Source organism: Homo sapiens, chromosome 3, assembly GCF_000001405.40.
Source record: "Homo sapiens chromosome 3, GRCh38.p14 Primary Assembly".
Taxonomy (NCBI): Eukaryota; Metazoa; Chordata; class Mammalia; order Primates; family Hominidae; genus Homo; species Homo sapiens.
Window position 1 is genome coordinate 10,676,821 of NC_000003.12, and position 17,232 is coordinate 10,694,052.

At 45.8% G+C, this 17,232-nt stretch overlaps 1 protein-coding gene across 5 annotated transcripts in view; it reads right to left on the minus strand.

Moving 5' to 3' along the window:
* ATP2B2 (ATPase plasma membrane Ca2+ transporting 2) overlaps positions 1–17,232 on the minus strand; it is a 384,094-nt gene that overhangs the window by 352,798 nt on the left and 14,064 nt on the right. The window contains exon 1 of one of the 5 annotated variants that reach the window (XM_017006481.3): positions 14,571–14,765. The exons of 3 other annotated variants lie outside the window; for them this stretch is intronic. The gene's annotated coding sequence lies outside the window, so the exon portion shown is untranslated. Of the gene's footprint in view, positions 1–14,570; positions 14,766–17,232 lie in introns of those variants that run through there. One more of the 5 variants, XM_005265179.6, reaches the window with a different exon arrangement.

Sequence of the window (17,232 nt, forward strand, 5' to 3'; positions counted from 1 at the left end):
ATAAATTATGCGGAAGGTGATTCAGCCATTTAAAACTATGTCATGGTACAAACCTAGTAGAATGGCCAAAATCCAGAACACTGACAGTACCAAATGCTGGTGAGGAGGTAGAGCAACAGGAACTCTCATTCACTGCTTGTGGGGATGCAAAATGATGCAGCCACTTTGAAAGACAGTTGGGCAGTTTCTTACAAAACTAAACACACTCTTACCATGTGGTCCAGCAATCACACTCCCTGGTATTTACCCAAAGCAGTTGAGAACTTATGTCCACACAAAGTTCTGCACACAGATGTTTATAGCAGCTCTATTAATAATTGCCAAAACTTGGAAGCAACCAAGATGTCCTCCAGTAGGTGAATGGATAAACCGTGGTACACCCAGACAATGGAATATTATTCAGTGCTAAAAAGAAACATGCTATGAAGCCATACAAAGACATGGAGGAATCTCAAATGCATATTGCTAAGTGAAAGAAGCCAACCTGAAAAGGCTGCATACTATAAGGTTCCAAGTCTATGACACTCTGGAAAAGGCAAAACTATGGAGACAGGAAAATGATCAGTGGTCAACAGGGGTTGGGGGAAGGGAGGGATGGATAGGTGGAGCGGGGATGTTTGGGGCAGTGAACCTACTCTGTATGATACTATAATAGTGAATATGTTGTTATACATTTGTCCAGACCCACAGCAAGTACAACACTTGCTATGAACCCTAATGCAATAATGGGCATGATGTGTCAATGTAGGCCCATCCATTGTAATACATATATCACTCTGGTGGGGGATATTGGCAGTGGGGATGTTGTTTGATGGGGAGGGAGTCTATGGGACCTCTCTCCTATGCCTTCCTTTCAATTTTGCTGTGAACCTAAGATTACTCTAAAACAATAGTGGCTAAAAATTTATTTTGTAGATGAATATTTGTTGGCAAAGAATAATATGTGACATGAAGAAACATTACAAGGTAATATATGAAATAGGATCCTGTTTTTTATCAAAGCAACATTCATGACTAAGTTGTATGGCATGAGTAAGCTTTCGAGCCATAAAGCTCTCTGTATGCCAGGCCCTGCTCTAAGTACTTCTCTTGTGTTATCCTGTTTGCTTCTCCCACAGCCCTAGGAAGCAGGTATTGTGGACATGCCCATTTACAGATGAGAAAACTAAGGCACAGAGAGGATAAAATACTGTCCAAGGTCACACAGCTGGCAACAGAGAAGCCATAATTAAACCCCAGGAAGTGTGGCTCCAATGTCCATGCTCCCAGTTGCTACACTGCCTGCAGGTAGACACCAATGTGCAAACCGTGGTTCTCACATACTGGGATCGTAAAAAATGTTTTAAATTTATTTTGCTCACTGGTATTCTCTATTCCAAAATGAATATGTATTGCTTTTATAATAAGGAAAAGATAATAAAATGTTTAATAAAGGCTGGATGGGCATCCCCAGGTTTACTGAAACATCGTGCCTTCATCGAACTGTTTGTGAAATGAGATTCTGTAGCATGAAGCTGGTATTCCCTGGACTCCTTTCTTGGCGTGAGAGATGTGCCCGGCACTTCCCAGGGGTGGCCAGCTCAGAGGGAGGAAAGGAAAAGACAGGCAAGCTGCCCACAGCAAGCAAGCATCTGCTGAGCACTTATTGTGTGTTTGTTTGTGGGGGACCAAGATGCTGGCCCTGGCTTCTGGGGGCCCAGGTCTAACCAAGAAAATGGCCCTTCTCCTAGAAGGGGCCTGGGAGCATGGAAGGCTTGTCTGTTTATGAAGCCTGGGGGCCTCTCAGAAAAGTGTTAAGAGCTCCTGGAAGCAGGGAGAGAGCTTGTACTCCCAACTCAGACTTGAATTGGGATCCCGGCCCCACCTACCTGCTTGCTGTGTAACTTGGGTTAACCCATTAACTTCACTGAGTTAAAGTGGGGATAATAATAGTACCAATCTGTGGTAGGTAGAATTCTAAATCATCCCCCAGATTCCCAGCCTATGGTGTACATACCCTAAAAATCTCCTCCTGGGTGTGGAGAGGGTCTATGAATATGATGGGATATCATCCCGTGGTCATGTGAGGTTATATAGCAAAGGTAAATAGATTTTGCAGATGTAATTAAAGTTTCCAATCAGTTGACTTTAAGCCAAATGTAGATTGTTGTAGGTGGGCCTGACTTAATCAGGTGATCCTTTAGTATGGGATCTGGAAGTCAGAGACTTCTATCTCTCTCCTGCTGGCCTTAGAGAGAATCAATGCACCATGAGGTCTACAGCTGCAAGGAAATGAATTTTGCCACCAACCATGTGAGCTTGGTTAAGGACCCTGAGCTGGTAGATGAGACACCAGCCACATCCTGGATTGCAGCTTCGTGAGACCCCAAGCAGAGGATACTTGCCTGCACTATGGTGTATGGAAACTGTGAGATAATGCATGTATGTTGTTTTAAGCCACTAAGTTTGTGGTAAGTTGTTATGCAGCAATAGACAACCAATACCTTACATCACAGGAATGTTTATGAGAAAATGCATGTGCTGTCTCACATATACACATCCACCCTGTGCTCAACTATTTGATCCTCTTTCCCTTACAAATGGCAGGGACCCAGACCATCTCTAGGGAGGTCTGTTCAGTACGAATGTTCTGATATTACCACACCCTCCCATCACACCCACCATCCCAGTCTGGGATCCCTGAATAGGCTTGAAGGAGCTTCCAGATCTTGTCCAGTTTGGGGGATAGTCAGGAGGGGCCAACACTGAAGTTAAAGTTGGAGCAGGAGGGAAACTCTTGCCCATTTGCACAGGGAGATGTGCCCAGGAATGTTCACTGTGGCTTTATCTCCAGCAGGAGAATGGGTGAACACATTGTTGTATAGTCACACCAGGTAATTCTATACAGCAGCACAAGATGAAGCAGATTCATGTGAATATGCACTCAAACAATAATGAGCTGCAGAAAGATATGTGCAATCTGGTGCCATTTATGGAAAGCTTAAAAACATACATCTGGTGCCTGTGAATGGTAAACCCAATGCAGGATTGTGGTATCTCCAGGGTGAGAGAAGAGGGGAAGAAATAAGAGAGCAGGAGGGTTCAATGATATTGATATTTATAATGTTTTCTTTCTTAAGCTGGTGGTCGGTATATGGTTCGAGGATGTTAATAACCTGTCGGTTCCACGAGGGATCTTTGTCTGTTTTGGTCATTGCTGGAGCCCCAGCACCTAGAAAAGGATCTGGCACATAGTAGGTGCTCAGTAAACATTTGTTGAATGAATGAATGAATGGTGTTGGTTACATTGTTCTCTGTCAGATCCTGACATGCATCTTAAAAATAATATCTTGAAGATCCCTGGCACCAGAGACATCCTGTGTCCACCCACCAGTTTGCTCTATGGCCCTAGGGGAGATCACTGGTCTTCTCAGGGTCTCCACTTTGCCATTTGTAAAGTGGGAGGCTGCATGGGCTGGTCTCAGTTTCCTCCTGCTGCAAGAGCCTGTGGTTTCTGAGGGTTCTGGAGGCCCAGGTGAGTGGTAGGTTGGCCTATGGAGGTTGTCACAGACCAGTGCAGCCAATGTCTGTCTCTGTGGGAGCGACCTCTTTATCGAGCTCTTAAAATTCCCCTCATTCCTTACAGGGATCGGGCCAGACTTTGCTGGGATGTGTGGTGGTGCATGTCAGCTCTGGTCCTCACCAGTGGAGTGACCTTGGGCAGGCCATCGTGTCCTGATGCCTTGGCATCTTCATCCAGAGGATGAACAGTGAATCCATACTCAGCACACAAGTCAGAGGCTAGGACCCGGGGGACATTAGGTCTCCTTTGGTGTCCCCCAAATGTAAGGGCCAGGGTGGTGGTTACTGATCCTCTCATTGATTAATAGAAACCTTTTACACATTCGTCCTGAGCATAGCTCCCTGGGATGTATGGCTTTCCTGGGAAAACAGAGGCACCCTTAGGACATGTCTGAGGTGGGCCTCCTGAAGGCTGGATGTCCCAGTCAGCAGATTCCTACACCCCTCCTGATAGAGTCTGGATGTTGTCTGCACCGAATCTCATGTTGAAATGGGATTCTCCATGTGGAGGTGGGGCCTGGTGTTTGGTGACTGAATGGTGGCGGCAGATTTCTTATGAATGGTTTAGCACCATCTACCTGGTGCTGTCCTCTTATAGTGAGTGTGCTCTCGCGAGATCTGGTGGTTTAAAAGCATGCGGCACCTCCTTCCTCTCCCCTGCTTTCACCATGTGATATGCCTGCTCCCCTTTCACTTTCCGCCATGATCGTCAGCTTCCTGAAGCCTCCCCAGAAGCTGAGCAGACATTAGCATCATGGTTCCTGTATTCTCAGTCTGCAGAACTATGAGGGAATTAAACCTCTTTTCTTTATAAAGTAACCCATCTCAGTTATTCCTTTATAGCAATGCTAGAATGGCCTAACACATTCCCCAACCTTCCCTGTGTGGCCACGTCCCCCAGCAGCTCCACGCTTGGGGGTGGTGGAGGCCTGGCCCCAGGCCCTTGTCACCAGAGGCAAAATGATTGCAATCTCTCTGCTGTGTGCTGGGAACCTCCTCGTTTCCAAAGTGCTGTCATGTCCCGTGCACCCCCATTGATCCTCACAAGCTGGAAGGCAGACAAATGTCTCCCCATTTCAAATATGAGGGGCTTCACAGTCAAAGGGGTGAAGTGCCCAATGCACTCACTCACTCGCTCACTCACCTGTTCATGCAAACATTCACTGAACGCCCACTGGGTGCAGGCACTGTGGTTGGTCCTCAAGATACAAGTATGAAAAACAGACTTCACAACAGGTAACATTGACTAAGCACTTACTACTTGGTAACAATGATTGGTTATCTACTACATTCAGACTATAATTTTCACACCACACTATAAGATGCAGGTCCTATTATTATTAGGCCCATTTAACAGAGGGGGAAACTGAGACTTATCAATGTTAAGGAACTTGCTCTAAGTCGTGCAGCTAGTAAATGGAGAAACCAGTATTCAAACCTACAGGCTCCAAAGCCTGCAAACTGAACTACTCTGCTGACCCAGTCCCTGTCTTTGAGAATTTGCAATTTGGTATAGAGAATTCATGATGTTCAGGCACACAGTAGATGCTCAGAATGTACTTGTTATATGAATGGATGATTGGCAATGTAGGGCGATCAGAGATACCTGAGGCAGTCAGGGAAGGCTGCCCTAAGGAGGAGGCATTAGAGCTGGGTCATGAGGGATGAGTAGGAGTTCACCAGGCAAACCAGCAAGGATCTGAGCCAGGACTCCATATTCAAATCCCTTGTTCTTTCAATATTGATTCCATAACACGAGACTGATGGAAAGAAACCTCGAAGGCATAGTGTTTCCATCCATGCCTCATAAATTTTGCCATGGACTTTCCATCTGCCTCCACCACAAAGTCTGAAATCCTCTTTGCCCTGATAGCAAGTTTGGGCCACTGACTCCCATTTAAATGAATGTGTTACCACCAGAGGTAGGGAGGACTCCCAGATTAAAACCTGAGAAAGGAAGCACAAATCACAGCACTGTGGTCTCAGATATTGGCTGAGACTATGGGCTTAGCTTGCACCCCCAGCTCCTTCATGCACCTGGAGTTTGAATGGCTTAACTTCTCTGTGCCTCAGTTTCTTTGCTGTAAAAGAAATGTGACAGTGACAATGCTTCTCTTGTAGGGCCATTGTGATGGTTAAATAAGTAAGTAGATGTCAAATCTTTACAAAGTGCATGGGAAATGCTTAGTGAGTGTAACCTATTAAGAGGACAGACCTGGGAGATGGGTGGCATTTAGGGGTACGTTTCCTGTGGACTCTGAGTGCAAGAACTTCCCACTAGGGCAGAAGCAAGTCCAGTGAGGGTCTAGGTGAATGGATCCAAGGCTAACACAAGAAACCCCCAAATCCTCCATATCTAGTCTGTCCCTACCCAGAGCAGATGCTTGGTGACCATTGGTTAAACAAAGAGCTGAAAGTGGAAGGCCTTACTGGGTCAGGTCATGATCCCACCGGCTTCTGATGGGACAACCACAGGCACATGGCAGGGGGCCACAGAAGCAGCTTTGTAACCAAAGAACAAAGGTCAGAAGAGGAGGCAAACCCATTCATCGTGTGCACACACTCCTGCAAACGGTAATGTGCTGTGCCCATGTTAGCCCTCTGTATGCAATTGGGTAAAAGACAGGGACATAAAACGAATGTGGATACTAATAATAATCATGCAAATGGCCACTGAGTCTTTGTATGTGTACTTCACCTCCATTATCTCATCTGACCTTTACAACCCCTCTGCCAGGGTTTTTTTTTTCTTTTACTTTTTTATTTTTTAATTAAAAAAAAATTTTTTTTTTTATTTTACTGATGAGGAAACTTGGGCTCATAGAAGTCAAATCACAAGGGAGAGTTCTGGAATCAGAACCCAGGTTCATGTGGCCACAGGGCCTGCATTTGTAACCACACTCTCCAATCCTTTGGATGAGTCACAGAAAGAGGCACAGAGGGAGGAATGTGAGGGAAGATACCGCTAATTAATTGTGATATTGGAAAACTTCCTCATGGGTTGGGAAGGCAGGAATAGGGTCAGTGTTGCTTGGGTTTTGCTGAATTCATGGTACTACTCATTCTTCATGTGGAACTGGGGAAAGGGGAATATGGTAATTGAATAATATAAACTCCAACCTTAAGATCCTCTGCCAGACAAAGCAGTCCCCAAGAGAGGCACCAGATCAGTTATTTCTAGGTTGCTAGCAATGAAACTATCACTGCCAGCACCACTTTTAAGATAAGTGGTAAATCATTCAATAACTTGTTATTTTATTTATCTCATTTTTTTACCCAAAGCCTTATAGCTAGAAATATATATATACACATATGTATATGTATATATGTATATACATGTGTGTGTGTATATATATGTGTATATATATGTGTGTGTGTGTATATATATATATATATATATATATATATATATATATATATATATGTAAAGAGACAGGGTCTCGCTCTGTTACCTGGGCTGGAGTGCAGTGGCATGATCATAGCTCACTCACGGCATCCTCGAACTCCTGGCCTCAAGCAACCTTCCTGCCTCAGCCTCCCAAGTAAGTATCTGGGACTTAAATTATAATCTTTATTAGACTACCCTTCTGACACTGTGCTCTTTCCAGAAACCTCATCTACCCTTGTAGTGAGCAGCTCCATTGGAGAATTGTCCCTTTCCCATCCAATGGGGCTTGAGTAAAACTGTCAATCACATGCTTCCCTGCCTTCAAATCTCATGGGTGGGCAAGTGACCCAGGTCTGGCCAATCATGGTAGCTCATCCTGTGGTACTCAATGATTGGTCTAAAGGGATGGCACATGACCTAAGCAGGGCCAATGCCAGCCCCTTTATGGGATCTGTTTATGGATAAAGGAAGGAGAAGACTAATCTTTGTTTAAGTTTGTGAACTGGATATAAGAGCCACATCAGCCCTAGAACAACTGGTGACCACCTGGAATGCTGAAAAGCAGAGCTGAGAGAAGGAGAGGAAAACTGAGCCCTAGTAATATGATTTCAGCCTCTGGATTCAGCTGTGCCTGACACCCTCATCCTTGTACTTTGCAGTTATGTGAACCAATCCCTTTCTTGCTTAAACTAGTTTGTGCTGCGATCTGGTCACCAGCAACTGAAAGAGTCTTATTAAACATCACCCTCAAAGGTTTCACAAATTAATAGGTTCATTCAACAATTATCTATTTAGTAGCCACTCCAGGCCTGCCACTGATATGCTATCTGTCTCAATGAAAATCAGGATGAAGATTTATCATCGTTAGAGTATCTGGGGCAATGGGACCTAAGCTCTGAAAGCAATTTCTAAAAAGAAGCATCCAATATGTCCGGATCAAGGTCCAGCTCTTAGGAGCAGGTTTGTAGCAAATGATGACCATGGCAATGGCCACAAAGGGGTCACACTAGCAACAAAGTCTAATTAAGTCTATGGCAACAAGTTCCAAGGGTGATCTTTGCCAATTGGATGGCTATTTTACTCGAGACAATGATAAAATCAAGACAGTGCTTAAGTCTCTGCTGTCGTTAAGTTCATTATGGAAGATAGTTGGTCAGGATGGAGGTTCAGGTCAGAGGGGACAGGGACAAACTAAGCCTGGGAGAAGATGAATGTTCACAGTTTTGAGGGAATTTAGCAAAAGCCAAACTGAGATCACTCAAGACCAGGCGATGGTAGACAGACTCTCTAAATCCAGGCCACCGATGATGTTCTCCTTCTCTGAGGTTCTTCTCAGAGAACATTTCCTCATCTGTAAAACGGGTGTGCTAAGTCCCCACTGTTTAATCCCTGGGGTTGCTGTGAGGATCAAATGAGGCACTCTGTAAACGGCAAAGGCCTGAGGCTTGTTTTCCAGCAAAAGCAGGTATCTAACGGCAGGAATAAAACTGTATTCTGAAGTCAAGCCAATAAGTGTGCTCGCTGGGACCAGACGGGTCCTGAAGAGGTACAGAACAGAACAGATGATCTTCAAGCAGGCAGCTGAGCAAGCAGCGTGAAGCTGTGGGTTTTGTGGAAGTGACTCTTGGAAGGCAAGTACTGCTGGGTGTTCCGTGGGGACTCCAGCTGAGGTGTCTCCAGTTCACTGTGAGATTACCAGACCTTGGCTAAAGGTCTCCTCACTTGCCTGAGAGAGAGAGAGAGAGAGTGTGTGTATGTGTGTGTGTGTGTGTGCACGTATACCCCTGTGCAGGACCACACACTCCTGGGCAGAGAAGAAGAGGGGGCTTCTATCCAGCCCACTGTCCACTGGCCAAGCAATGTGCCATGTGGCTGCTTCCACCCAGAGGGGGCTGCCTTTTCCTAATGTGCCCCAAAGCACCCTATGGTCTAGTGGTGGGCATGTGTGCACATGCAGGAACACACATGATCCCATACATGTGTGACAGCAGGGACTTATGCCTGAACGTTTATGATGGACACATCTTTGACAACCAGAATTCTAGTTCCATTCCTCACTGATTTCTTCTTTAAGCCCTATATGAGAAGGCTTCCCATTTCTAAAACTAAATTTCTTTTTACGTGACATCTGTGACCACCTTCAATCAAATGAATCCATTTGCAGCAGGGGTGACTGTTTTAATGTGTCTCTCATTCTCCTCTTGGGGCTAAGCTGCAAAATGCTTATTCCAGCTCGTCTTTCTTCCTGGTTCCCTGTCTTTCTTTCCTCCTTTCTTTTTTTTTTTTTTTTTTTTTTTGAGACGGTCCTCCTTTCTTGATTCCCACTGGCCTAATGCCTTGTGGTTGCCCTCATCTGAAGCATATAGGGTGGAAATTTTAATTTCTCTAAACACAGACAGGTCAATGCCTCTCTGATAAAAGACAGCCTGGGTCACACTGTTCCCCACAGAAAAGCACCAAGAGATCACTCAAACTCTAGACAGTTTCCTCAAACTGATGTTAGTCTTGTGGAGGACAGAGATTATGTCTTGGGACACCCATGAGTATCTGTGACAAGTGTCTCAATAGAATAGTATCACGTCTGTTTTTAAAAGCACACAATTGGCTGGGCGTGGTGGCTCAGGCCTGTAATCCCAGCACTTTGGGAGGCCGAGGCGGGCGGATTGCAAGGTCAGGAGATCGAGACCATCCTGGCTAACACGGTGAAACCCCATCTCTACTAAAAATACAAAAAATTAGCCATGCGTGGTGGTGGGTGCCTGTAGTCCCAGCTACTCGGGAGGCTGAGGCAGGAGAATGGCACGAACCCAGGAGGCAGAGCTTGCAGTGAGCCAAGATCATGCCACTGCACTCCAGCCTAGGCGACAGTGCGAGACTCCATCTCAAAAAAAAAAAAGCACGCAATCATTCAGCACTTTTTGTGTTCCAGGCACTGTGCTAGGTGCTTGTTGCCTTCCCACTAAATCCTCAGAATCACCCTATTTCACAGATGAGTAAATTGAGAACAGTTTCTCACCAGTAAGCCCTATACCTTTTAAGAAATAAAACCAAGAGCAGATGAAGTGAGCCTTGATTCCTGAAAGCCACTAAGCCACTAGTTCTGAATCACTGGGGTGGGAGTGGCATGTAGTACAGATGCCACCTAATATGTCCATTTTACAAATGAAGAGACTGAAGCCCAAAGAGGAGTCTGGGATATTAGAGAGGCACAGTTGAGGGGCTAGAGCCCTGCCTTCTGAAAGCCCACAGGCTACTGAGAATACACAGCTGCAGCTGATAGGGACCACGATATGGGTCATGCAAGGCCCAAATAAGCAGTACAGAAAAGTTGCAACTACATGGAAGGCCTTGTAATACCCATACACCTTAGGGATTAAAGAGCAGGAGTTTGGGGATCACTTCTGCCTTTTACTTGCTGCCTTGGGTAGCCACTTAACCCTTCTGCACCCCAGTTTCCTTATACTTAACATGGGAACAACACAAGTACCTTTCCCCAAAGTGTTGCTGTGAGGATTAAGCAACATAATCCTCATAAAATGCTCAGTACAGTGCCTGGTGCAGACGGAGTGCCCAGGCATTGTTAACTTATATTATCTTGGTGGGCTAAGGAATGTTTTTGATGCTTGATTTTCAAAATGAATCAAATGTAAGCTGCCTTTCCAGTAGTATTTCAGGTCAATATAGTTTTCTTCAGTTTAGAATCTTCTGGGAACAACTTTGGAGAAAGCTCGCTCTAAGCAGACTTTCAAATTTTAGTGGGAAAACAAAGAATTAGGTGATTTAAAGATGGAAATAAAAAGAGCCATTGGACCCAGATGAGGTGGCTCATGCCTGTAATCCCAGCACTTTGAGAGGCTGAGAAGGGCCAATCATTTGAGGGCAGGAGTTCAGGACCAGCCTGGCCAAGATGGTGAAACCCCATCTCTCCTAAAAATACAAAAATTAGCCAGGCGTAGTGGTGCACACTTGTAATCCCACCTACTTGGGAGGCTGAGGCCTGAGAATTGTTTGAACCTGGGAAGTGGAGGTTGCAGTGAGCTGAGATCACACCACCGCACTCCAGCCTGGGTGACAGAGTGAGACTCTGACTCAAAAAAATAACAGTAAAAAAGAACCATTGGGCCGCAAGACATCTGCCAGTTATTAGCTGGGTGACCTTAGAAATAATAATAATAACAGCCAAAGCCAATATTTATTGAAAATTCCTATGGGACAAGCACTGGTTTTGATATTATATATATAAAATACACACATTATCTTTATTCATATTACATATTCATTAAATTCTTACCATGACCCCTATGAGGAAGTTATTAGATGTTGTTTCCATTTTCCAGGTGAGAAAACCAAGGTTTATCACTTTCCTGCCTCTAGCTTCAGTTTCTCCAATTGTGAGAGAGGCCAGTCCACACCTGTCTGCCTCATAAGGTTCCTAAGAATGCCCAGAAGACAAAACATACCAGGTTTGCGTTTGCTCCTCAAATGCAAAGACCCAGAAAACAACCAAGTTTGGCTGCTGTTCTCCACTGAGCTCCAGCCCAGCAGAGGGCCCCAGTGGTGGGTCAGAAGGGCACATCAATTTCAAGGGGAGACACTGGCCCCTAAGGAGCTTGTCATCAACTGCACATTGACTCTCCAGAGTGAAGACCTAGAATGGGGGCTTGTCTTACTTCATTCAACATGTTTCTTTGGGGCTTTTGCCTCTAATTCCTGCTGTTCAAGATCAGCAGGGAAACCAGCTACTCAAAAATTAGTCCAACTCCATTTTAGTTATAGATGTGTCCCTGTTGGCTTGTGCCAAATGACCCAGGTCCCCCAAGAAAGCCACCGGAGAAAGAAAATTTGCTCTCAGACAGGGACAACGTTAAGGTGAGCAGCCCTCCACAGTGGTGTGATGTCTCCTGCGCCAGGCCTCCTATGGCCAGCGGATGCAGCCAAACCAGCAAAGTCCTTTACAAAACCCTCAAAGTGCTGACTCACCAAAATGCAAGCCATTAACTACCCCTGGACACTGGACCAGTGGGATGGAATTCCTCGCTTGACTGAGGATGGAAATGCAGTGAAGACATCTTGGGATGCAGCCCACAAAGGTATTAGGGTGGCCTTCGGTTGAAAAAGGCAAAGTGAAGCAATCACCAGGCTCTTTCCCTCCATGGTGCAGATGTGGAAACCACCTGGCCAATGTCCACCCTGTCATTACCTGGTGTGGGGGTGGGGAGGAGGGCAGGTCCATGACTAGTAGAGATCCTCTTTGGATTGCATGTGAGGGTTTGACCAACACAAAGGATATCAGATTTGAAGAGCCAAAGCTGTAGGCCCACGTGTTAGCACCATTCAGCTAATGGGGACACCTGAGCCTTCCTGTGATCTAGATAAGGAGCAAATCCTTGCGTTACCTGGTGCAGATCTCCATATATTCTATGAGCTCTACCACCGTTAGCCATTCTGAGCCTCTTTTAGAGTAGTCTGGAGCTTGTGGGTGGCGGGGCACATGAGGGTTTTGGTAGGAGTCAGAACCAGGTATGAAGCTTGCCTTTGCTGCTCTGGGGAAGTGCCTCTCCACACCTTAGTTTTCTCAACTGTGTGACGGGAAAGGCATCTATTTCACAGAATTGGCAGTAAAATTAAATAAAATAACACCTCCTGTCCAAATAGAATAATTCAGTGTTTCCCAGACTTAAGGATGTCTCAGGCCAGTAAAATTAACACAAAACAAAGAAAACATGAACTAAGTCAATCTAGCATTGCCAGATACCAACATTAAAAAAAATAAGACCTCCTTGGTCATCAACATTATAGAAGAAAGGCCATTTTAACACTGAAAGAGTAGAAAGGCCACAACCTCAGGATAAAAGGGCCTCCTTTCTCTTAGCTTTCTAGAAAGCTCTCACCATCCTCCTCATCCTGCTGAGGACGGGGAACCCTGTCATGGACCAGCATTGCCCTGGCCTCGTTTGGTTGCCGGGAAACCACTCAGATGCTGTACTCCAGCACGTGGAGGGAGGCTGGTGGATGTGAGTCTCCGACCTGGTTTATCACACTCTGACGTGCAATCCAAGCATTGCTGCGCACCCTCCACCCCGAGGTGGGCTTGGGCAGGCAGGTCCACAAAGTAGGTCCTCAGTGAGGGTAGGGTGAACAGAGGAATGGGGAACACCCAAAAGGGAGCAGTGGGCAGCCACAGAAGCTCTACAGAGAGTCCAGAACCAAAGGGAGGGTGCCAGTGCCTGCCAATCCACTGCCAGTCCACCGCCTATCCCTGTCCCCCACATGCAGAGGACTCTGTCCTCCAACTGCAGAGCAGACACAAAGGCTCTGGGGGCAGTCAAACAGCAACAACAATGTTCATGTCAAAAGCATACAATTCTTTGTTTTGAAAGGGCAAAGAGAAAGCCACAGCTACAACTTTGTTCTCCGTCCAGGCTTGACATAGGGGGGGACAAACTGCTGATTCTCGAAGGAGGCCCCTTTAAAATCAGTAAGAGACACAACATCCAATCCACTGCGCGGGCAGCCATTGCTGCAGAACAGCGCCCCGTCATCCTCCTAACAGCTGGCACCTCCTGAGAATTTGCACATGCCGGCATAGACAGAGCAATCAGATAGAGATAGAGAGATGGATAGAGAGCTAACATATAGAAAAAAACAGAATATCTATATCTATATCTATCTATCTATCTATCTATCTATCTATCTATCTATCTATCTATATATCTCCTTCACCCCTTAACAAAAGTTACTATTCTCTCCATTTTACAGATGAGGAAACTGAGGTTTCTAAAGGTTGCCACCTTACTCAAGCTCTTAAGCTACTTTAAACTTTCCTTTTGATGATTAAACGGCATGAGGCAGATGCATAACACTTTTCTCAGAACCACCCCCAGAGACAGAAGAGTGGCTGAGCCGTGCAGGGTTTGTCCGAGTGCACCAGGGCTGTGTGGAGAAGAAAAGAAGGGCAGCAAAATCAGATCCTAGAGGAAAATCATTCACTTATTGACGGGCAATGTCAACTGCCCTGGTTATGAATTATATGAATTATATGAATTCTCACCTGGTTATGAATTATAAGAGGCCCACACCCATTTTAAGAAAGACTTAGAATCAAATTCTTCCAACTCAAATCCATAACCACCTATTAAGTAACCACTTTATTCGTCGATGAATCTCAAATGCCTAAGACAGTGCCTGGCACATAGTAGGTGCTGAACAAGTATTTGCTGTTTCTTTATTGAATTGCTTATCTGTGTGGAAGGCACTTTCCAAAAGCCTACTCAGGGTGTCCAGTTCTTTCTAACCAGATGCTTTCAAATCAAATATGAATGCTTCTTTTAAAACAGGAATGGAAACAGCACAAGCCTTGCAGGGAAATTCTGACCTGGCCCCTTGCAGGCTGTGTGACTTCTAGAAGGTTCCTTAGTTTCTTGGAGCCTCAGGGGTCTTGTCTGCAATATGGGGATAGGAATAACTCTACATCTCTTGTTCATACAGTAGCGATCATAAAATAACCGTACAATGGATCATACCATGAAGAAAGGTATTCTGTGCCATGAGTACGATGAGGTGGGTCCCCAGGGCCACCACTTTAAGCCTCTTCCCTCTCTGGTTTCCAGGCCCCACATACCTCAGTAGTTATGGGAGGACCAAGACTAGTTGTCCCTTCTGTCCTGGAGGGGCCTGAGGTCCTGGGCTTTTCCAGCTGTGGTTCCTTGGACTGAGCATCCAGACAGCTCCTCTGTGGGGCCCTAGGGCTTCACTCAGCAGTCTGCTCCACCACCACCCAGCTCACGTTCACCTCTTCTGTTTCTCCACGTCAGCTCCCCGACTCTGGGCCTGACAAAGCCAGAAACCAGGAGGAGAAATGCTCTGGCTTATCCATGGAAACAAACTGCTGCTTTTCAGAGACAAGACATCACCCAAACACAGGTCTATTTCCACAACACTTGAGCCCAGCGCTGAATGCCAGCTCCAGAGGGCACCATGGGTTCTCCAGGGTTTCTACATGTCTGCACTTAGGAGGTGCTCAGGGAAAAGTAGATGATCCATGAACACCATATTTCCATAGTTGCAGAAAGGGGTGATGGTTTCCTTTATGTCTAAGAAGTCTCATATCCAAGGAATGACAGGTGCTAGGAGCTTTCCCACATATCTTGCTTCGTCTTCCAATACTGCGATGGTCTGATCCCCACTTTACAACTGAGAAAACTAAAGCCCAGAGAGACCTAGTTACAGTTAGAAAGTAAGTCAGAATTTGAACTCATGAGATTCCAACTTTATTTTACTGGGTTTGAGAAAGTTTTTACGAATTATATTAAATCAGAGAGAGAGAGAGAATTGATTTTCAAAGTGGCTCTATTTTTTATTAGTTCAAAATCTGCATATTTTTATAAGACATACAAGCCTGGAGGTGGCAAGCAAACAAAATCCAAGCCAATGTGATTTCAATTTCTGTTCAAAGGGCAGGCAGAGTTAACACATAGATGCAGGCATTAGGATCTGCTTTGGCAAAGTGAGCCTAAAATAGCTGCTGTCCTATTCCCTGCCTCTCCCCCCAACCGTCATTCATTAATTTCTGCTTTGTGGGCGCCGAGGCTTGCCGGCTGCAGACAAGTCATCTGGCCTCGCAGACTTTTTCTGCAGCAGGGTAATAAATGTTCACAGGGACCCGACAGGAGATGGATGAGGGGACACATCGAGGTCACGATCACAGTAGCTACTGGATGCGCACGTTCTGGGGGGATCCCTGGGTCTGAAATGATTCTCTTGGTGACCTCAAGAGCATCTTCATGTTTCATCATCTTGGCTGGCACTTGAAAGGATGGTTTATGATCCTCTGATGGGAACAGTGAGGAGTGGCAGCACCTTGTGGGTTATGAACCTCCAGGATGTGGGTTCCCGGCCTCCCCAGGGCAACACTGGGTAGACCTTATGCCTGCTTCCCTGTCCTCCCAACTAGCCTGCAAGTTTATGAGGACAGCATTAGGCCTGGTTCACAGCGATATGCCCAGGAGCAGTCACTGACCCCAGGACATGTGGTGGGGGACAGAATGAGCCAGGAGCAGAGGAAAATGGGAGCCCACACCCGCCAGACACTGTGCACTCACTGGGGGATTCCTATGTGGGTGGGTGGGTGGGTGACTGGGCCTTACTCACTGGCAGCCCTGGATCCTGCAACAGGCTCTTCTGCTTCCAGTCACCTGTCATTGTGTGCCTACAAACTTACATCAGGGGCTGGGGCCTGGGGGCAGATAGAAGATGTATGAATGTCCATTTTCTTCCAGACAGGATTGATAGGCACATTAAATGAGATAATGCAGGAAGGCCTGCCTGACACACTGTATCGCAAAACACAAAAGTGTGAAGTCATTCCACAACCAACAACCTGTGGATCTAAGGCTTGACAATCACACTTTTTGGGGGCTGGGGAAATATGTTTCTGATGACACAGTTGAAAGAAACAGTATCTGGTATTTTTAAAGTCATGGATATTCAACGCACATTTCATAACTCTTATAGTGGAGAATCCAATATGCCATGGCTAAGGGCCTCCTGCTTCCATTGGCCAACCTGTGAAATGGGTACAATCTACTCTTTTCCCTAGCAGATATGTGAGTGCCTCCTATGTGACAGGCCTGCTCTGGTGTGGGAGCACTGCAAGGAACAAAAAAGACAAAACCCCCTGCCCTCACAGGCTTCCATTCCAGTTAGGTGGACAGGATTAACTCCCAGTAAAGTACACAGCAAAGCTTGATGCTTCCTTCATTTGACTGTGGCTCCTTTGCTATTTTTAAAACAAATGGCGTAACAAACGCCTGATTCTGCTTCTTGCTGTTTCTTTGCGGTGATATGTTCCAGAGATAGAACCATTCTAGCAATAGAGATATGAGCCTACTTCATTTCTTTGTTTCTGTTATGTGGAATCAGCTCCCTCTTGTGGGGCAATCACTAGAATGCAAACTCCACGAGGACAGGAACTTGGTTTATTTTGGTTATGGTTATATCCCCAGAGCCTGGCACACTGCCTGGCACATAGTAGGAAGCCAATAGATGATTATTAGGTGAACAAATACATCTAGGTCATTCCAATGCCTTGATATCAAATGATGTTCAGTGATCATCTCTGCATAAGCCTCTCTGGGCGTGGGACCATGTCTCTGTTGCAGGCACCATGCAGTGGGCTTACCAGGCCAGAGCACCTGTGTCTTTATTTATAACTTTTTATTTGGAAGTAAAGGTTCACAGGAAGTTGCAAGGAAATGTACAGGGAAGACACATGCACTCCTTCC